General features: G+C 33.9%; 1 protein-coding gene across 18 annotated transcripts in view; it reads left to right on the forward strand.

Moving 5' to 3' along the window:
* GRID2 (glutamate ionotropic receptor delta type subunit 2) overlaps positions 1–23,275 on the forward strand; it is a 1,506,491-nt gene that overhangs the window by 1,107,243 nt on the left and 375,973 nt on the right. For 17 of the 18 annotated variants that reach the window (NM_001440459.1, XM_024454024.2, NM_001510.4 and 14 more), the window contains one exon: positions 11,563–11,760. In NM_001440459.1, coding sequence (NP_001427388.1) covers positions 11,563–11,760 — 198 coding nt within the window. Of the gene's footprint in view, positions 1–11,562; positions 11,761–18,430; positions 18,506–23,275 lie in introns of those variants that run through there. The other variant, XM_017008127.2, reaches the window with a different exon arrangement.

Consider the following 23,275-nt stretch of genomic DNA (forward strand, 5'->3'; position numbering starts at 1 on the left):
AAAATTTGAGGTAATTGAGGTCCCAAACTCATAAAACTATTGAGCATGAATACACAAAAAGTTTTTAAAGTACCCAGCACATACTAAGTTCCATATGAATATTTGCTGCTATTATTTTTTTCAATTTCAAACATGTACACACATGTTTCAAATTCAAAAATGTAGCTTTGTACATTTTCTTCCCATTTAGCAATATGCAAATGAGTATTTTTAATTGAATAGATTTTTTTTTTTTTGAGACGGAGTCTTACTCTATCACTCTGTCACATAGGCTGGAGTGCAATGCCGTGGTCCTAGCTCACTGCAACCTCCGCCTCCCGGGTTCAAGCGATTCTCCCGCCTCAGCCTCCAGAGTAGCTGGGACTACAGGTGCATGCCACTACACCTGGCTAATTTTTGTAGTTTTAGTAGAGACGAGTTTCACTATGTTGTCCAGGCTGGTCTTGAACTCCTGACCTCGTGATCTGCCTGCCTCGGCCTCCCAAAGTGCTGGGATTACAGGCATGAGCCACCGTGACCAGCTGTGAATAGATATTTTTAACAGATGTGATCAGTAGATTTTTTCAGCCACTTAGTGAATAATTTCTACAGCTGCCTCAAATGTCTATTAATTTATCTAGGGTTGTATGTAATTCCCAGCCTTCTAACTGTTGACAGTTTTATTTCTCATTCCCTGAACTATGTTGAAATGCAAATTAATGTCTTTACAGAGATATTTTTGAATCTCTCTATTAAAAAAAAAAAAAGAAAAAAGAAAAAAACAAACCAATCCCGAACTTCAAAATGCTATTCTTGGTTTTTTAAAAAATGACCTATAGTCCAACTCTGTGTAGATAATTATGTGACAGGGCATTGAGACACTGAAGTTGACAGCCCAATGTGCTGTGCTGTGTCATACAGATAGACTTAAAAAAAAAAAGCCCCAGGCTGGGTTCTGTGGCTCATGCCTATAACTCCAGCATTTGGGGATCACTTGAGGTCAAGACTTTGAGACAAGCCTGGGCAGCATAGTAAGACCCATCCCCCCCCCCCAAAAAAAAATACCAGGCATAACAGTGTGTGCCTGTATTCCCAGCTACTCAAGAGTTTGAAGCAGGATTGCTTGAGCCCAGGAGGTTGAGGATGTAATGAGCCGTGATTGTGCCATTGCACTTCAACCTGGGCAAGATAACAAGACCCCATATCTTAAAGCAAAACAAAACCCATCTCTGATTGTAGCGTATTTAGGTTGTTTTCAACTTCTTCCTAGATAACTTGCAATGAACGTTTTAAAAATATATACTTGTGCACATTTATGCTCATTTATGATTATTTAGATGTACAATTATTAGATGAGATAATATAAAAAATTTACAGCCTTTCACTTTTATTTTTCTTTTTCTTTTATTTTACTTTAAGTTCCAGGATACATGTGTAGAATGCGCAGGTTTGTTACATAGGTATACATGTGCCATGTTAGTTTGCTGCACCTACCAACCCGTCATCTAGGGTTTAAGCACCACATGCATTAGGTATTTGTCTTAATGCTCTCCCTCCCCTTGCCTACCCCACTAACAGGCCCCAGTGTGTGATGTTCCCCTCCCTGTGTCCATGTGTTCCCATTGTTCAACTCCCACTTATGAGTGAGAACATGAAGTGTTTGGTTGTCTGTTCATTTGTTAGTTTGCTGAGAATGATGGCTTCCAGCTTCATCCATGTCCCTGCAAAGGACATGATCTCATTCTTTGCTATGGCTGCACAGTATTCCACGATGTGTAAGTGCCACATTTTCTTTATTCAGTATATCATTGATGGGCATTTGGGTTGGTTCCAAGTCTTTGCTATTGTAAATAGTGCTGCAGTAAACATCTGTGTGTATGTGTCTTTATAGTAGAATGATTTATAATCCTATGGGTAAATACCCAGTAATGAGATTGCTGGGTCAAATGGTATTTCTGGTTCTAGATCCTTGAGGAATCGCCACACTGCCTTCCACAATGGTTGAACTAATTTACACTCCCACCAACAGTGTAAAAGCGTTCCTATTTCTTCACAGCCTTGCCAGCATCTGCTGTTTCCCAGCTTTTTAGTAATCACCATTCTGACTGGTGTGAGATAATATCTCATTGTGGTTTTGATTCGCATTGCTCTAATGATCAGTGAATGTTGAGCTTCTTTTCATATGTTTATTGGTCACATATATGTTTTCTTTATAGAAGTGTCTGTTCATATCCTTTGCCCACTTTTTTATGGGGTTGAGGCTTTCACTTTTTTATTGTGAATTTGTTTTCTGGAAAACTTTTACCAATTTTAATTCACATAAGTAGTGCATGAGAAAGTCTACTTTCTCACATGCTTGCTGATAAATGTTAACATTCATTTTTATCCTTGCCAGTCAGATAAGCAATAAATTAAATAGTTCTTGTTATTTTAATTTGTATTCCCCAAAGGTATGTTAAGAGAGCAAAACAATAAATAATTCACCCTCAATGGTTGCTGTTAAACTTTGTCTTTTTAAAATTTAAGCTTTAAAGATTATGACTTTAATTATTTTTTCTTCTCATAAATAATATTTCTCTTCTAAATAATTCTAAGTCACAATTATGTAGGGATAAAAAAGAAAGTATACATTTTAATGCTTTCCTCCATTAAATTTGAATGTGTGTTAATTTTGTATTCAGTGCTGCAGGTTTTTACAGAATACTGTCTTTGGTTCCATATTGAACATTCACCTTGAGGACTTTAGTCTATTGATTGAAAGCTTTAGTTCATCTAATAGAATTATTATGACACATACTCCAACTAAAAATCAGTCAAGGACAGTCCCAGAAGTTAATACTCTTCCAAAGACTGATGCCTCCACTGAGCACCTCTAGGAAGTATGAGATGGTGTTGCATCACTTCTCACTAAGTTCTTATAACCCCACATCCAATATATCAACAAATTTCATCAGCTCTACCTTCAAAAATTACCTAGAATCCAATTATGTCTTATTAAATCCATTTTACTGCCAAGTCACTTCTGATTTATTGCAAAAGGCTCCTAATTGATCTCCCAGCTTCTTCACTTGCCTCTTCCAGTCTATTGTCAATAGTAACTGTCAACTGTCTAGTAAACTGTGAAAATATATCTGATCATGTCTCTCCTCTGCTCAGAGCCCATCTGGCTTCCTATCTTAGTCAAAGTAACAGCTGACATCATCATAGTGGCCTAAAGACTCTAGTGAAGCTCTGCCCCATCCAAATACATTGCCTCTCAGATATTTCCTAATATGTGGCTCTAGCTTCCTTGGTCCTAGCCACGCTAGTGTCTCTTCTGTCTCTTAAACAAGTCAGAGACTCTTAACTGCTGTATTTATACTTACTCTTTCTTCTGTCTGAATGCTGTTTCTACAGAGGTGCTTTCTAATTGAAGGTACAATCATTTCTCACATATGCCTTCTTCTCATTATTTGTTTAATTTCTCTTCACAGCACCTATCATCACCATCTGACATTTTATATATATATATATATATATTTCCTTTTTTGTTTGTTGTCTGTCACTCCCACTAAAATGTAGGTCTAGAAGAATAGAAATGTTCGTTTGTTGTTTGTTTTGTTCACTGCTGTATTCTTAGTGTGTGCCTGGCATTAACACTCTTTTGAATGACTGAATAAATATCTGAATTTCTGCTATTTCCCTATAAGTAATATTATTTTGGATAGAAATGCCACTAATCCTGAAACATTTTCAAGTTTTATATGGTTTTTATCTTTAATATTTGTGTGGCTTTCTGCTACATTCCAATATTTAATTAGCTTTAGTTTACATTTATTAAATGCTTCTATATCCAGATAATGTCATATCATAAGTTTCAGTTGACATTTATTAACATTACTACTTCTTATAATATTTTAACAGAAATATGATTCATCAACTCCAGTGTTTGTAAATATCATCACCATTCTGAAGTCAAATGTTGCCAAAGTCTTCCATTAAATACTTGCAGACTTCTCTCATTTGGTACAGCCAGTCACTCCTTACAGCTGCAATATGTTATATCTCGAATGTATTTCTTGATAGCTTTCTTTAAGATAACTGCACTTGCAAAGTTCTTTGTACCTAGAAAACTTTCAACAAATATTTAGAGAATATAATTTACTCATGCATGTGGATAGACACATGTAAGATTCACTTAAGTGTCAAATTTACTAATATAATGAAAACTTGGACCAAACAAGCAACAAAAAATATTATCCAGCACTCATACTCAAAACGCAGTCTGAGAGTTTGGTATTTTTCAGTTCCTAAAGGTTGATCATGTGGTTCATAAAATCTTAGTCTCCAAAATGTATTTTCAAATGAATGTCAGGCAGAACCAACAAATGAGAACTAGGGTACTTAGGATTATTGTAATTGCCTAATGTGTTTGGTGACCTTGTATTCCCACTTACAGCAACTTATGCTTCTTTCAAATTCTTTTGTACAAAAAAAATTGTCTTGTCCACTCTCCACTTAGCCTTTAAGTCACTAAGATGTGGCTATTTCATTAGTTGAAAGCAATGTCTAAAATAAAATATTTTATTTTAAAAATCAATCATCTTGCATAATAATAGCTTTAACTTTATGCTCAATTTAAAATATTTGTATTTAAATAATTGCTTACAGAATAGAAATAGAAATGATATATAAGATAATATAGAAGATGTAAGGATTTAAGAAGTTAGGATGACAGTATTTTTATTTACTTTTATCATTTGTAATTGTATCTTATTGTCTGGTAAAAACATTTAAGGAAAGATTAAAATCTAAGTTTAATGTATTATTTATAAACATTTGCTCCTTCATAAAATCTTCCTGCAATCCCTCTTTTTAAAAATGTTTTCATTGCATATCCCGATGATCTGCTTTTCTTCTCTCCATGAAACTCAGATACTAGTTTTCTTTACAACACCTGGATTGTTTCTTCCTCTACTGCTGTTCCTTATTTTGTTTTTCTATTCTGGTGTCTTGATATCTCCTTTTAACAAATTCCATACCATTGGCCTTCCTAACTTGTGAACATTTCTAATACTCACATATGCTCTATAAAAAAAAGTGAGGTTTTTCCAAGAAGAACAGTGGCCATTAATTCTGCATATATCAAAATGGAATGTGTCATCTTTGAGCAAAATATAAGCTCACACCATGCATAAAGACAACTATTGTTTGCTTCAGCCAGGAGTATGTTTTAGGGAAAAAATATTTTAAACAAGCCATTAAGAAATAGTCTCTTTTTTCTTTAATGTCTTTGAGCTACATATGTGAGCAGAATTATAAAGAATTTCCAGTGACTCATTCTTAGTTTTGGCCTTCCTGGCATTCTGTAGTCGTGCATATTAAAACCTCTAAACAGCTCTCAGTAAAGCCTTGGCAGTAGAGCTTGTAGCTTGTACCTATCAAAAATGTCAGATGCTTTTTTCCAACGCCATCACTAGCAAACAATATTACTTAGTTATTAACATATAGGAATTAACGGCAAAATCTGCAAGTTGCAAACAGTGTTGTAAATCAACTAAGCATTTATCATGAGATTTTTTAAGTGACTGAATACAGATTCAGAATCATGAAGTTATTATCTAATAACCCAACAAGTGATGTGAATAAATCCTTGCTAATATGAAAATTATCAGCCACTGAAACACCCTTTTCTACAAGCAGGTCTGTGGATCCTCATGCTAATGTACTTAGATTGATAAACCACAGACATTCTCTGAAAGCTTCGTTTGTTCCAGTTGCTGAGGCTTGTGCTTAGAGCATCTGTCATGCAAATGATCAGCAAATCATAACCTGTAATTTGTTTTCATTTAATAGGCAGACAGGTTTTCACCAATTTAGACTCAAGTCCTATTAATACTCTTTGAAACTAATTGCTGGAAAATGAATTTTAATGACAGGATTTTATCATTTATTATTTTCCCTTCTGTCCCTATAAAGGAAGACTCAAAGCCATCTACTCACACTTTGAAAATATATGTTAAATAGGCACAAGCCATAATCTCCTGTCATCTGGGCTGTTGCAAAGGACCCCTAATCCCCTCTCTTGTAATAATCCATTCTACACTCTACTCTTAAAATTACTTTCTTACTATCCCATTTCCCTTCCACAAAATCTTCAATTCCCTGTCAAGTAAATAGCAGACACTTTAATATGGCTTCGTTGCCCTCCATTATCTGTTTGCAGTTTACATATTTTTATCCTTATTTGATATCGCAATATAACATGTATACAGAAAAAAGCATGAAACATTAATTAATAAGTAGTAAAGTAACATCCAGAAAACACTACTCAGAGCAAAAAGCAGACGATTGTCATTACCACAGAAACCACCTCCCCAGTGCATCTTTCTGATCAGACCCTTCCCAGCATCCCAGAGTCTAACCACCCAGAGATAATCACTTCCTCTATTTTCTTTAGATTGTCTCCAGCTACGTGTGAATTCTTAAATAATATGGTCAATTTACCCATTTTTGAATGTTATGTAAATGGAATCAAAATCTGCTTTCTTTGGCTATTGCTTTTTTCACTCAAATTATTCTCTTAAACATTCATTCATTTTAGGGTACAGCTTCAGTTAACTTCAATTTTAAGCTGTTTAGTATTCCACTGCATCAATGTACCACAATATATTTATCTTTTCCATGTTGATGGGCACTTGGATTTTTAGATTGTTTCCACATTTGAGCTATTACAGACAAGGGTGCTATGAGCATTCTTGGATGTATAGTTTGGTGCCCAGTATTCTTTTGTATTCATACCTAAGGAGTGGAATTTCTAGGACTTAGCCATGCATATTCATACTAGATAAATATTGATGTAATACGTAAAACCAAGTAATATTAACTTGTATATAAGTAGCTCTGTATGCTACTAGACAAGTCAAAATATTTTTCAAAATGGTTGTAAATTTATATATCGAGCAGGAGTGAATGCTATTCACTCCTACTTCTATTTCGACTTCTAGAAATAGGAGCACTTCTATTTCTTTATATGCTTGACAGTACTTGGGATTATCAGACTACCTCACTTTCTGTTCCTCCTCTATTTATTCTTGCTTTAGGATTTTCTATCCTCTTGTTTATTCTTCCTTCACCCTGGATATTAATTCTGACCTATTGCAATTCATGAATTCTTTCTTCATCTGTTTCTAATCTATTAATGACTCAGTCATATGTTAACTTTGGTAATTGTCTTTTCTAATTCTCAAATTTGTTTAGTTCTTTTTCAACTGCGTAACAACACTCCTTTGTAGTTTCCAGTTTCCTGCCAATTAAAAAAGCATTGCCCTTCATTTCTTCAAACACAATAAACATAATATTTCCAATATGCATCTGAAAATTCTAGTATCTAAATTCTTGAGGATCAATTTCTGTTCCTTGTTTCTTCTGCAGGTTCTATTATTGAAGAATTATTATGTTGGTGCAAAAGTAACTTAGGTTTCTACCATTACTTTTAATGGCAAACACCACAATTACTTTTACACTAATCTAATATTTCTTTTCACCACATTTCTTTGATTTTTGTTTGGACATCATATTCAAAAATTATTTGAAGGAATCATGTTACACCTAAAGTAATATTACCTTTTTCTAGAGAGGATTGTGTTTTTCTCTGTCAGGAATCTGGAGCCTCCATCAGGGTACCACCATAAATTGTGTTAAAATTTGAGATTAAACTATGCAGTCCTGGATTTTAATCCATAGGTGGAAAAAAATAGAGTTTCAAAGAGGTAAGCTTCAATTAAGACAGATTATGATGCCTCCTTCTTCTGTAACATATTGTGTGACTTTGAGTTGAGATTCTTCCTAAGTTTTCTGATCTATTAAAAAAGATATAGCTGGTAATCCCCAAAATCATGATTTTCCTTTTTTTTTTTTTTTTTTTTTTACAGTTTCTACTGTATTTCTTTGTTGTCCTGTCAGTACCAGTTATGGTGTGTGTTGCTTTTTCTTTCTTTATATTTTTGTTGAGCACAGTGATTGAGTACATGCCCCACTAATAGGGTATAATTATTTTGAGAGTAATATCTATGACTTAACACCATATCTCTCACTATATTGAGTGTAGTACCTTGATGCAGTAGCTAGCTGCTCAGTGAATGTTAAATGGATAAATCAATGACTGAATAAATTTTAGAGATAGGTACATAGATAAAAGTGATCAAAACAAGCTAAGTATTACTGCAGAGAAGGAACAAGTATCTTTTCTATTATAGTTCCCAAAGCTTCAACCAAATTTCTTTTGCTATGTTTACCTGTCCAATATATTGGCTGGTTGTACTCATAGAGTACTAGTCTTAGTTAGAATTTATGAGTAATGGTCCAAATCCGTAATAGAGCTTAAAACTAAAGCTTTAAAAACATTGATCCAGATGAAGAATGATAGGATGCAATGAAAGTTTATTTAGGGCATAAAATTTAAAAGGTATGTTATCAATAATTCATTTTGAAAGTCCCCTTAATATAGCCATTTCTATTCTGTATCTTTAACCAGTTATAGGTGACATTGCTAGGAACAGATTTTGACAGCAGACTTGTGCAAGGGATCTGTTTGCCTAGAGATTTACTTAAAAGGTAGAATTAAAGTCATTTCAAGAAAGAAATTTAACATAAGAAAATATAACCATTTAGTACACTAAATAATTGGTCTAGCTAGTTATGAGTTAAAAATGAAAAAGAATTAATAGTTTTTAGCAACATATACATTGGGACAGTATTTTTGCCACATCTATCATTTACCTATGCAATAATTAAATTCATAATTTTTTAAGTGTCATATCGAAGAGTGTTATTCAACTTCCTGGTGATTAAATTACTGATAAACATAGCCGATTTTTTTTGGTTTTGCAGGTCCTGAAAAATAGAGAATGCATATGACTTCCAAATATTGGTAGAAGAGCCAGTCAAATAATATCTTCCATGAATCCTCTTACAATTAATTTGCTGATTGATAGATGTTCAAAATCTAGAAATGAATGAGTTGCATGTAAGGAAATCAGTACATGCTTCTGCTGCCATCATATATCACAATACAAGCATTAAAAGCTATATTAATTATAGAACTTTATGATCTTATTTACATGGTCTGTGAATTTGATCTTTATTTTGGAATTCCTTTAATCCATTCTGATTCTAATCACCTCAGGACCAACTTTAGTGTATTTGTACAAGGCGTAATCATTGGCTAGCTCTATAAGTTGTCCAAACAACCAAATGAGATGTCGCAAATTCTGCCAATTGTGTAAAGTTTTATTATGTACTTTAAATATATGAATATTTGGAATATCAAGATGTGTTGTATTTTACCAATAATATTAAAGGTTTGCTTGTTCACTTTTCACTTGTATTATGATGTCATTTAAACAAGTCAGTATTATTAGAAATCTGATTCATTCTGAAAACCTCTCATCTACTGATCTAATGATCTTCAATATTCATTAACATGAAATATTACTATAATAGGAAAAAAATCGGTACCTTAACAAAAAATATGGAAATTTATTTGTTTATTTATTATTTTTACTTATTTATTTATTTATTTATTTATTTATTTATTTATGTTTTTGAGACAGTCTCACTCTGTTGCCCAGGCTGGAGTGCAATGGTGTGATCTTGGCTCACTGCAAGCTCTGCCTCCCAGGTTCACGCCATTCTCCGGCTGCAGCCTCCCAAGTAGCTGGGACTACAGGCGCCTGCCACCACACCCAGCTACTTTTTTGTATTTTTAGTAGAGACGGGGTTTCACCATGTTAGCCAGGATGGTCTCAATCTCCTGACCTCGTGATCCGCCCACTTCGGTCTCCCAAAGTGCTGGGATATTTCTTTCTTTCTTTCTTACATTCTAGAGCCTTGGCGAGTTGGCCCAAGTGTTGTACAGCATTTTCAGTGTCAGGGACATAGACTTCTCTCCTTTCTCTGCTGTGTGTAGTCTCAGATAGTTACCAGAGCACCAGCCATTGTATGTTCTTTCTAGTTTTCAGGTAGCAGAAAGAATAAGAAATGTTGCACAAACCACCCTGTTTACATCACGTTGGCCAGAATTAGTCACATGGCCATGAAGCAAGCCACTTTGCCTGAAGTAGGACTACAGATTGTCTTTATTCTCCATAGTGGTAAAATATAAAAAAATATAATTAGAGAAGAAGAGAACTCCTCTGGAGGACAACTAGCAGTAACCTACTCTACTAACTGTCCATTTACTAGTTCATTTTGCTCTAAGATAACATATAAACAGTGAAACTAAAATATGTTTTCAAAATTAGAAAATGTAAGTACCTTAGATAACCAAGATTAAAGAAATGTTACAAATACCACAATATCAACATAGTTATAGATGAACATCAAACTTAGTACTGATTTTCTGAATATCCAAAATGAAAAGAAATACCTCAATAATTGGTTACATTGTTTTTTATCATTTTGAAAAAGGCACTACTGAGGCAAATGAAGCTCTTTGACCCTGAACAATTACAAAATTTATCTCATAGCAATTTTTAGGGAGAAAATTGTATATTATAGTTGACAATATTCCTATAACAGGTGCAGTGATTTTATAAGCTACTTACAGTGTCTTTGAATAAAAGCCAAAATGAAAGCATTATGAAGGCTATTTTGTGAATCTCTGAGGAAAAATCATTCAAAAAAAAAAAAAAACCTTTGGCTATTCTGGCTTATATACAAGGAGAAATTTTAGCCTGCCCAGAGGGCTGGATGGACTACATACACCATGAATGGTTATCTGTAAATATTACTGTTGCTGAAAGATTTCTGAACAAATGTAGAAAATTAAGGAATAGATTATCTAGTTTTCTGTAGTCTGCCAGCATGTTTCAAATCAATCGAGCTTTCTTAACACCAGGTGTTCTCAGAAGTGAAAGGGGCCTATTTGTTAGCTTTAAAAAGACAAAAATGGGAAAAGATAAAAGAGGTGGAAGCAGAAACCAATTTGCTAAATTTACTAAATTAGACAGTTTATTGAAAAGGTAAGTGAATTTCTCATATCAGTCATAAAGAAGCTATTTTTCCAATGAAATGTGTGTTTATATCAAAGTCACAAAATTACTTAGTGAATAACTCCCAGTAAATGCGATATTATTAATTTCAGCTAAATTATATGTTCTTAGAATTTTTTTATCTTTTCAGATTGTTTTATGTAGATTATAGCTGTTAAAATTTTATTGGATGTAATTTACATGGTTTACAAACAATAAATTCCTGAGAATAGATACGATAAATTTATAGTTTGTTGAATGATTTATTATTAAGGAGTCTCAGATTGGTCCTCCGAGGACAGGAAAAATAAATTCATGGACCCTAAGTTTTTTAGTTACTTTTATCTAATTTTTGATATGGTAATAATTAAAAGGGAGATGATAAGAAATTGAATGATTAAGCATTGTTAAATAATATGATGCGTTAATAATGCATAAGTTATATTCCTGAGTTGATTCTTTCAAAGTATAAAACAATTTTTAGATTTAATCAAAACTCTTTAAAGAATTAATCTTTGCTTTTAGGGAGCACTATAGATTGACATCAGAAATTTCTCTTATTTCCATGTAGGAAGAACCTTTTGTGATGGTCTCTGAAAATGTCTTGGGTAAGCCGAAGAAATACCAGGGCTTCTCCATTGATGTTTTGGATGCCTTATCTAACTACCTGGGTTTTAACTACGAAATTTACGTAGCACCGGATCACAAATACGGAAGCCCACAAGAAGATGGGACATGGAATGGCTTGGTAGGAGAACTTGTCTTTAAGGTAAGAATTACTTTATTTATTTGTCTCATACTTAAAGGTTCAATTATTTGTCTCATACCTAAAGGTTCAACAGTAACACCTTGAAGCTGATTTCATATAAAATAAGTGTGATGTATTTAGGTTGGTTAAGCATTAGGTGGTGGAATTGAGTACAAAAGTCTCACTCAATACTATTTTATGAACTTTGTGGAAAGAAAAGTAGTTGACAAAATAAACCTAAATGTTAAAATATATCCTGTAATAGAAAAGGGTTTAGAAGAAGACCTTTTCTTTGCTCAACTTATACCCCAAAAACAGAAAGTGTATATGATACGTGATGAAATCACAATGTAAGTTACACATGCAATTTGTACTATTTTTTTTCTTTCTTTTTTTTTTTTTTTTTTTTTTTTTTTTTGAGACAGAGTCTCACTCTGTCCTCCAGGCTGGAGTGCAGTGGCTGGATCTCGGCTCACTGCAAGCTCCGCCTCCTAGGTTCGCGCCATTCTCCTGCCTCAGCCTCCCGAGTAGCTGGACTACAGGCGCCCGCCCCCACGCCCAGCTAATTTTTTTGTATTTTTAGTAGAGACGGGGTTTCACCATGTTAGCCAGGATGGACTATTGTTTTCTTTTTAAAAATGTGATGTTATTGGAAAAAATTAAAACATTCACTGCTTAGAAACTAATCATTTCATTCTGTAATCTAATCAAGATAGGTATGTACATATGTATATATTTTTCTTTGTTCTTTCAATTCTCAGAAAGGTGTTTAAAACCTCTATGTCCTTCTTTAGTCCTGTCAGAATCTGCTTCAGTTTTTTGAGGCTCTGTTATTAGGCACATAGACATTTATAATTATTACATTTTCCTGATAAATTATTGAATAGTTGGGTTTAGGTTTATAACTTACTGTTTGGTTTATATGTATACCATTTTTTTCTCTGTTGCTTCTTTTCCTGTTTTTCTTGGGGTTAATTAAATATATTTCAGTATTTGATTTTATTGCTCTTACTGCCTTTTTAGTTGTCTCCCTTTGTATTTTTGTTCGTGGTTAGTCTAAAGGTCATAATATGCCTTCTTAACTTACTACATTCTATCTTAAGTTAATATTGTACTACTTCACATAAAAAGTAATAAATTTTCAGCAATATAATTTTATTTGTACTCACTCCTTTTTGATATTGTGTTCACATATTTATATTTTATTAACCTCATACCAAATATCATAGTTTTTTATTTAAATATTTATTGTCTTTTAAAGGTACAGAAAGAAAAAAAAAAAGACAGTTGCTGGGATATAATCACTTATCTACCGTGTCTGGGGCTCTTTATTCCTTACATATATTTGAGCTCCCATTTGGTATAATTTACCTTCAACCTGAAGAACTTTCTTTAGAGTGTCTTGAAGTGCAGGGCTACGTAGGTAGCATATACTCTCAACTTTTGTTTACCTTGAAATGTCTTTTTTAACCCTCATTTCAAAATGATATTCTTACTGGATATCAAACTCTGAATTTACAGGGTTTTTTAATGTTCATCATTTTAAAGTTGTGATTCTATCAGTTTTGCCATATATTATTTCTGATGAGAAATTAGCCATCATCTGTATCCTGATTCTTTATATGTAGTATATTTTTGTATGTGTTAGTGGCCATTCTACAAGTTTCTCTTCATTTTTTGGTGTTTAGAAATTTAATTATGATGTTCTAGATATGATTTTCTTTGCATTTATTGTGCTGAGAGTTCACTAAACTTCTGGGATAGGTTACATTTAGTAAATATAGAGAATTATTTCTTCAATTTTTTTTACCTTCTTTCCTTTCTCTTCTTGATTTGAGGCTCAGAGAATATTCAAGTTAGATCACTTAATGTTGTCTCCTAAGTCACTGAGGCCTTGCTTGTTTTATTAAGATATTTTTACTCCCTGACCTTCAGATTTGACAATTTGTCTTGATCTGCCTTCAAGTTTACTGATATTCTGCCACCTTCAAATTTTTGTTAAGTCCTTTCAGTAGCTTTTTCATTCTAGATTGCTTATTTTTTCTTTCCAGAATTTCAATTTTTTGAAATAATTTTTACTTTTCTGCTGAGATTTCCTATCTTTTTATCAGTTATGACTTTCTTTTCTTAAAAGTTCATGATCACATTTATAATGGCTTCTTTAAAGTCCTTGTTTGCTAAAATTTCAACATCTTATCATCTCAGAATACATTGCATTTTCCTGGTTCCTCACATTTCTGGTTACATTTGATTATATATTGGACTTCGTGGTTGATACATTGTTAAGACTTGGGATTATGTCTCTGAAATTGTATATTCTGAAAAGGATTGATTTTTGCTTCAGTGGATAGTTAAATCACTATCTGTTCTCTTGAATTTGTGGAGATTTAGCTTTAAACATTGTTAAGGCAGGTCTATTTGATGTAATCTTGGTCCCTAGGGCAAATCCCTTGGTTTTCGTAGTCCACATATTTCTAAGATATAACCTTCTGGAGTTTCTGGGGAAAGCCTGTGGTTCTCCTCAAGCCCTTCTGACTTAAAGGAACTCAAAATTCAATCTGTATCTTCCCTGTCATAGGCAACAGTTGTAATCCCCTCTTTAGCACGTTTAGCCTTCTAGCCATTACTCTTTGCTAATTTTCCTAGGATCTCTCCCATATATGTGCAGTTTAGGGGTCAGCTAAGGATTTTAGAAAGTTTATACACAGATTTTGGGGCTCACTCCTCTGTGGCATCCTCCTTCTTGTGTTTCCCTTTTCAATTTCTGGCAACCCTAGCTGATTCAAACTCCATCCTCTGACAAGTTAGTTAATAAGACTGACTTTCTACTTGAGCTCTGTCGACCCCATCCCCGCTGAACTGAAGTGGGTCCTCAATGACTAAGCCTAATAAAGGAGGGCTCTACCCCGTGCAGTTATTATTTTCAAGGGTACCCTGCAGTTTCTGCCTGCTTTGGGTTGCTCTCCAGTCTTTTCTATATATTTTTTTCAATTTGATCCTGAATTTTTAATTTTTATTCTGATAGGGCTAGTCCAATAAAAGCTAGTACATCATTGCTAGAATTGGAATAATTTCTCAAATGCTTTAAAGTACTCAGAAGGCTAGAGGATCTAACCTAAATTGTTTGTAAGGAATGGAGAAGAGTAGAAATAAAAGGTTTCTTAAGGCAGTGGTAGGGAAAATAATAAAGCTATTTCTATATTCTATAAAATCCTAATGAATTTGGTCTATTTAATACATAAGTTACATATAGAATTGTATTGGAAAGCATTAATATCGTTATTTTTAATACAAAATGGGCAATCGTCAGTCCTCTTCCTTCTTATTAAAACCGTGCCCCTTCATCTTCTATTCTTTTAAAAGTCACAAATTCAGTGTTCCACCTTTATCTTTCTAAGGGCTGTTTCCTGATCTGAACCCAGATTAGCAATTACGTTAAAATTAGTGTAAAGAAAAGGCATTATACAAATTTATTCTATATAGATAGTGGTTAAAATCCTTAATGAGTTATTATGCTAATAAACTACACTTGCTAGATGCAAATTAAACATAAAAAGCATTCAAATTAGTATGTTGATGTTGTTTTTAATTTGTTTTATGTGCTTACACTAGTTAGTTTAATTTTGGAGACTTACTTTTTCACCTATAAAAATGAGGAGTCCAAGTATGTTAATGGTAAGATCACTTCCAAATACTATGTTTTGAAAATATAAGTTTATCGTATAGCAATCATACACAAGAAATAGAATGTTCTTCATAAACAATCAATTTCAATGTACTATTTGCATGTAAGAGCATGTCATTATTGTATGATAATTTATAGTTTAGAGGGAGTCCTTTTGCAAATAAAAAATTGAGGCTTAAAGAAGCAGACATATGATTTTTAGACAGAAAAAATATAAAATTATTCATTGGAACTAGGTTTTTATTTTGTTCAACCGGATATTTAGTCACTCTGACTAGGCTTCAGGAAAACTATTAAGCAGGTGGAGGAGAAGAAACCTACAAAAAAGACTTAGTTGGAGTAGATAGAGAGATTAAAAGAAAATTGAGAAAATGGGTTGTCATGAATGCCAACAGAAAATAACATTTCAAGAAGGAAAGAGCAGTCAACATTAGAAAATGACTATCAAGTTAAGGGTACACAACATTCCCTTAACTGTATTCTGACTGTTATCAGTAGAGATGTAAGTTATAATTTTTAACAATTACAAATGTTAATTCAATTACATAATGATACTTTAATAAAATACCATAAAATAATTTAGCTTTCCAAGAAAATTCATCATATTCAAACTTTATGAGGTGTATTTACCCCTATAAACCAAAATTACACCGTTGAAATGGCATAAAAATGTTATGATGGAGCTCCAGAAAAGCAAGCTTATTATTGTTATTATATCTTCTGATAATATACATACTTTTGTGAATCTAAGTATATTTTAAATAAATGTTGCCACTAAATATCTCTGTACAAGACAGTAAGAATTTTAAAATTAACAGGATTAACTCGTGTGCCTTTCTAAGGGGCTACCAAACTTAAAAGAATGTTTCACATAGTGCAATTATATATATCATAATGATTATGCACGTACCATCACATTAAAGAAGAGTCAAAGAAGAAATGTTGGAAAGTGAGCTCTGAATTCATATGATTATTCCACAGTGATTAGATCTCATGTTAGAGAGCTTTCTCATTAAAACCAGAAGTCAGTGGTCCAGTACATACATACTTTTAAGAGAGGAAAATGCAGTCAGAGAGAGAGAGAAAATGATTGATATGATGTACATATGGAGTCTATTTAAAAACTAATAATATAGTAAAGTCTCCTCAAGTCCTTCTCTGCCTCACTACTCTTATAATTTTCTGCAATTAATGTGTTCTTAAAATTTATGAAAACACAAATCTGGCCAAAAGATATGAAACAGATAAATGAGAGATATCTTCTGCCTAGTACAGGAGAAATATTTAAGGGTGAGTTAATGTAACTGAGAAATTATTTTCTCCTAGTTTAGAAGGGAAGAGAGGCCCACAGAGAACTTTCAATAAGAAATAAAAAGTATATCAAGTTTAGGATAGAAGTACCAAAAAAATTAAAAACAAAGATAACTCTGAATTAGATACAGTTGGATGTTTGATGATATAGTTTCTTCTTTGGCTGGCTTTCAAGTCAGAAGCTTTTAAAGTGGAGTATTTAGGGGTATTAGAAGACTTTCCAAGGGCAAGCCAGTATATTCAGCACAGAAAAATTTCAAGGTGTTGAGTGACATTTTGAAATAGAAACTAAAAACTTCCTTTTTCATATATTAATTTGTTTGGAAAAGATTTCTATAAAGTAAAAAAATACAGAAATTAAATCTTAATGCTAAACTCTACCTCATTTAAACCATAATTAGTACTGACCCATGGATATCTAAATTATTTTTTTAAAAGGCTCTATCCATAACATTGTAAGCTGCATTTGTAGTAAAACTTCATTTTTATAGACACTGAATCCATAGATCGTATACTAATTGAATCATGACTCAATTCAGAAAAAAAGATTTTATACCTAAAACTTTATAGTCACTGGTTATTTAAAAAGGATTGTAATTTTAATTTGTATGCATATTTTTGATGCAAAAATACTTTGGTGATCAAGAAAAGACTTTCAAACACACATTTCTATTGTACTTGAATTACAATTGTGTGAGGGTGGGGCGGAATATAAATATAGTTCAAGCATAAAATAAAATGATATAAATATTCTACCTATTAAAGCATGAGGTCAAATCACTATGATATTTAGATTCTAACAGATATATTTTTAAAAGTGACTTGACAATATTATTTTAAGTTATCAATATTTACAACACAATATACATATGTCAGTGCCGACGCCCACTCAGGAAAATGAAAACCATTCCTAAAATTTTGAAAAGAGGAGAATTTAATATTGTGGGTTGATCACAAAGGCGCTAGAAGGAATCAAAGAGCAAAGGATGAACAGAGTAGGACATTGGAAAAGCAAAAAGAAAAAGTAAAACACAGATATCAAGTGTTACTGATGTGTCAGTTGATTGTATCTGCCAGACGTATGCCCCTTGATCAGACCTGGAATTGCCAAAAAGTTGCTGCCCGTGCCCTAGCTGCTGGGATCAAGAATCGCCTACTGCCACTGCTGCTGCAGCCACTGAAATAACCATTTAAAGCAGACGGCTCTTCTCTTTCTTTTTCTGTCTGATATCTTCAGTGGTTTCCCTCAGGTGGAAATTATGGAGAAGCCAGATGGCAAAGGAGCCTGGGAAATCTGGTTTGCAGATTCCCATCCCTATAAGGCTCACAGTATATAGCAGAGTAGAAAATGGTATGTATAGGTTTAAGAGAAAACAGGTAATGATCAGTACTGTCTGCAAATTGCGCCCTTTACAATTTTCTAAATGATTGCAAAATTAATATGTCAATTATAAATGTAGAAAGATACATACTTAAAAAATTCCTTTGGGGTTTATATGAAGAAAAAAGCTTGATGGTTATTACAATGGAAGATTTATTTTATATAAAGAACATGACTGGTCGTTTTGGATTTAAAAATAATCTGTTCCTTCAGCCTAATTTTACCTGAGCGTTTCCACCACCTGGAAATTAAATCTCTTCATGCTAACTGATTATCAAATGCTAAATTATATGACAAGAATTTTACTCCCCAAGGAAAATAGATCCAACAATGGAAGAAAGCCAGAACCCAGGAAAATGGAAAAAAAGGAGGAATAAGTGGACTAAATTATAAATCTGTAAAATTAGGATAAAGTACTATACTTAGCATGTAAGTATTAATAGTGATGTTTCCATGTTAAAATATAGCACCATTGAGAGTCCTATCTCTCAATTTCTAAACTTCTAGTATAACACTAGGCTTTTCTTGTCACTGTGCCCACCCACGTGGTTTCATGAGAGTAAAGAATGTTTTTGAAAGTAGACATATAATATTGGAGTATAATAAGATACTATTTAGTAATTATAATGCCAATAATGTCATTTTCTGAGAAAGAAAATGCTCCCAAGACTAAACAGAGTAAATCAGCTGCTTGGGACTACACAGCTTTCCTAATTTTTATGGTTGACACAAAGTTTGGCAATTCTTTAGTTTTACTAGGTAAATGAATTCCTATGATGGGTATTTTAGTTCATCAATGCATTAACAATAGAAAGCATATATTTACCGGGAGGCTTTATAAATATTTTATTTTATTATTTTATTTATTTATTTAGAGATGGAGTCCCACTCTGTTGCCCAGGCTGGAGTTCAGTGGCGCAATCTCGGCTTGCTGCAACCTCCGCCTCCTGGGTTCAAGCGACTCTCCTGCCTCAGCCTCCCAAGTAGCTGTGATTACACGCACCCACCACCATACCCGGCTAATTTTTGTATTTTTAGTAGAGACAGAGTTTCGCCATGTTGGCCAGGATGGTCCTGAACTCCTGACCTCAGGTGATCTGCCCGCCTCAGCATCCTAAACTGCTAGAATTACTGGCATGAGCCACTGCGCCCTGCCTATAAATATTTCAAAACATATGCCACTTAACATGTGTTAATCACATGCCATGGTCAAAGTGCTATGGAGGGATGCAAGTGTGAATAAGACATAGACATTGATCATGAAAACATTTTGTTGATGGTCTCTATGTGCTATGCACTGTGCTAGGCACTGGAGATACAAAGATAAATAAAACATGGTTCTTGCCCTTGAAGAGATCTTGTCTTAATGAGAAACACAGAGGTTAAACTAGACACTTATAATACAATGCACTAGGTGCAATGATAGAGAAGCACTAAGAAAGCAACAAGGAAGGTAGAGTAAAGGTAAATTTCCTGAAGGAGGAGAAATATAGCCTGATGACAAAATAACAGGTAGTAATTATCTAGGTAAAGAGGGATTGGCAGAAAGTGAAGGACGTCTACTGACAGACACAAGAGTAGAAGTAAAGGTAGAAAGGTTAGAAACAGCATGGAAAGCAGGCCAAAATTTATGAGAATTTTGCAGCTCTCCAAGCAAAAAGTGATGAGAATCTATCCTACCATACTAATGTTGTGAAGAGAATGAAAGACAGGAAATCAGAGATAAAAAGGAGGTAGGATAAACAGAATTTATTGGCTAAAGTGAGGAGAAGGGAGAAGTCTGGAATAATTCATCAGTTCATAGTACAAATACATAAAAGGGTGGTTGTGTAACTAATTGGGACAGAGATTGCTGAAAAAGATTTAGAGGAGGAGGACAGTTTAGAATAGGGTGAGTTGGATATGTAGCATTCTGAAGCTCACTGTGAAAGTGCCATAGGAGGTATACATTTGGGAGTCAGCAACCTGTGGGTGGTAGTTGAAATCATGAAAGTACATCAGATTGCCAAAAAGAACACATGGAGTAAGAGGATCACTGGGCTAATCTTAGGATGAAACCCAGAGAAAGCTGTCACTTAAGAATTGACAAAATAAGAAGAATTTATGAAAAAAAATAAGAAAGTTTCAAAAAATAAGCTATGACTAGCAATGTCAGAACTATTTGAGATGTTGATGATAAGAACTGCCAAATGTTCACTAGATTGGCCATTTGGGAGTTGTTGGTTACCCAAGCCAGAACTCTTTTGGTAGCATAGTGGGAGAAAAAGCCAGACTGCAAAAGATGATGGAAAAACTTGGATGTGAAAAGGTGAAAATGACATGCATATGTATTATTTTTTCAGAAATTTTAGATGGAGAGGGGAAGAAAGAGATAATAATTGGAAGGGTCATTGGTTTTGGTAGAGTTTTTGTTTGTTTTTAAGTTAAAACAGAGACTTGAGTAAAATTATAAGCTAAGGAAGAAAAAGAAAGAAGGAAAATGTAATATAAGAAAGTCAGTTAATATGTGAAGGATAAATATCCTGGAACAGATTCAACTCCATCAAAAATGATTAAACTGAAAATTGATTTTAATGAGGTAAAGATGTTACTTTGATACTGAATATAATATAATGAGAATGTGTATGTTAATAATAGATAGGCAAGAGAATGGAAAATTGACAAAGATACTTTCTTATTCCTTCAAATTTATTGATAAAAATTGGAGATTACGTATGTTGACAGTGATGGGGACATGTATTATGTAACAGTCTACAGGAGAGTGGTGAAGATTGAAATAGACATTGAGGAAAGGGAAAGTGACTGCTAAATCAGAACAGATAAAAGAATAGATCAGTGGCACTAAAGACTGAGTGGAGGTTTATATGAAACTGACACTTTTTTATTGCTGCTAGTTTACACAACAGTGTGACTTTCTTCAGCTGAGATTGAGTGCCCAAGTCTAGGAGCAGAGATGAAAATGTTCATATCAAGGTTGAGACATGGTGGATAAACTTGGTAAGGGAATTAAATGAGATGAAAGAAGAGCTAAAATGATTAAGGAAGCATAGCCATGATCAGAGACATAAACTTGGATAAAATTTTGGAAATGTTAATTAGAAGATCAAATGAAGTTGAAAAACAGGTGAAGTATGAGTGAAGAAATGAAAGAGTAGGTTAGAAAGACATAACCAGAGACTGAAATACGAAAGTTCTAGAATTTGACCTTGAGGTTCATGGCAGAGTGTTAGAGAAAACAAAAGAAATGAGTTTAAAATAGCTCAAAATGGAGTGAGGGAGGGAGGGATGAATAGATGAAGCATAGGGGATTTTCAGGGCAATAAAACTATTTTGGATGATACTCTAATGATGGATACACTGCTGACATTATACACTTGTCAAAACCCATAGAAAGAATGAACTCTAATGTAAACTGTACACCCTAGTTAATAATCATGTATTGATATTGGTTCATTGGCCAGGCAAGGTGGCTCATGCCTGTAATCCCAACACTTTGGGAGGCCAAGATGGGAGGATCCCTTGAGGCCAGGAGTTTGACACCAATCTGAGCAACATAGAGAGACCTCCACCTCTAAAAAAATAAACATTAAAAAAAATTAGCTAGACATGGTGGTGCATGGCTCTAGTCCGAGCTGTTGAGGAGGCTGAGGTGGGAGGATCCCTTTAGCTCAAGAGTTTGAGGCTGCAGTGAGCTGTGATAGCACCACCGCACTCTAGCCTGGATGACAGAGTGAGATCCGTCTCCAATAATGATTGTAAGGTTCATTAACTGTAACAAATGTACCTCACCAATGCAACATAGTAATAATAGGGTAAATTATTCACACTTTCTGCTCAATTTTTCTGAAAACCTAAAACTGCTTTAGAAAATAATATCTATCTGAATCATGACCCAAAATGATTGTTGTAAGGAATATCTACATTGATTCTGAAATATATTAGGAGGTTGGTCAGTTTTTGTGTGAAGAGAAACATTTAGCCAGGTCTCAAAGTTTTCAGAGAAGGAGAAGAAGATGCTATTGTGAGGTTTGTCTGGTGGAGGTGATGAGACCTCAGAAAGCACATGTAATTGACAACATAAAACAAAACAAAACAAGAATGGAGATAGCATGAATAGAGTCTCATTAATAAATAACAAAAAACAGGTTCCTTGAGTATCTAAGAAAGGCAAAATTCCATGGCCCCTAATAAATAGTGAAAATGATGGAAGAGAATTCCCACGCCATGTCAGCTCAAAACAAGTATATTTTTTGCCCAAGCCATGCTCAAGCTCTTGCTCTTTTTCTATGCCTCCTGTGCTCATCCCCACTCCTATTGTCTAGGATCCCGCACACTGGGTTATTGATGTAGCTAGTCATGACACTTGGCTGATGGAGTTCATTTCAATACCCTAGTAGCTAATGTCAATAGAACTTTCATTGATTTTCCAGTGTCCTTTAATTCGTTAGGTATTGACCTTTTATTTAAATCCCACATGACCATTCCAAACATTTTCCACACTTTTCAAGCCTCAATTTCTAGTCCCTTCATTTTTTACACCCTCGTCATGTTCAGTTGTTAAACTCTATGGTTTACTGCAAAAGCTGTGAGAATCTAGCGTAAGTCCCTTGTGTTCTTGATATTCAACCTCAAAATCCTTCCATGATTCTCTCATCTTTAGTGACATCAAAGGCATTAGTTATGGATACTGTTGACACATTTAATACCCATGTGAGCCTAAAAGAGTTTTGAATCCTCTCTGAGTCACAATGTCCACATCAGTGGAATGAAGCTATTGTGAAGATGAACCAAGAAAATGAATTCAAGAATGTGTTGCAGGAAAAACAAATAGATCTTGTTGTATTTGTTGACTCGGATAGATTGGTAAAACTTCCTCAGGTTCTGTGTTTTAAAAATGTAACAGATCCAACACATATTTGGAAGGTAGTCTGATAGGATTTGCTGTGGGGAAGTGAGAGAAAGACCAAAGCCGAGAATAATGGTTTCCAGCTTCATCCATGTCCCTAAGGAGATATACCTAATGTAAATGTCGAGTTAATGGTTGCAGCACACCAACATGGCACATGTATACATATGTAACAAACCTGCACATTGTGCACATGTACCCTAGAACTTAAAGTATAATAAAAATATATAAAAAAAATTTAAAAAAGACCAAA

The sequence above is a fragment of the Homo sapiens genome, chromosome 4, assembly GCF_000001405.40.
Source record: "Homo sapiens chromosome 4, GRCh38.p14 Primary Assembly".
NCBI lineage: Eukaryota > Metazoa > Chordata > Mammalia > Primates > Hominidae > Homo > Homo sapiens.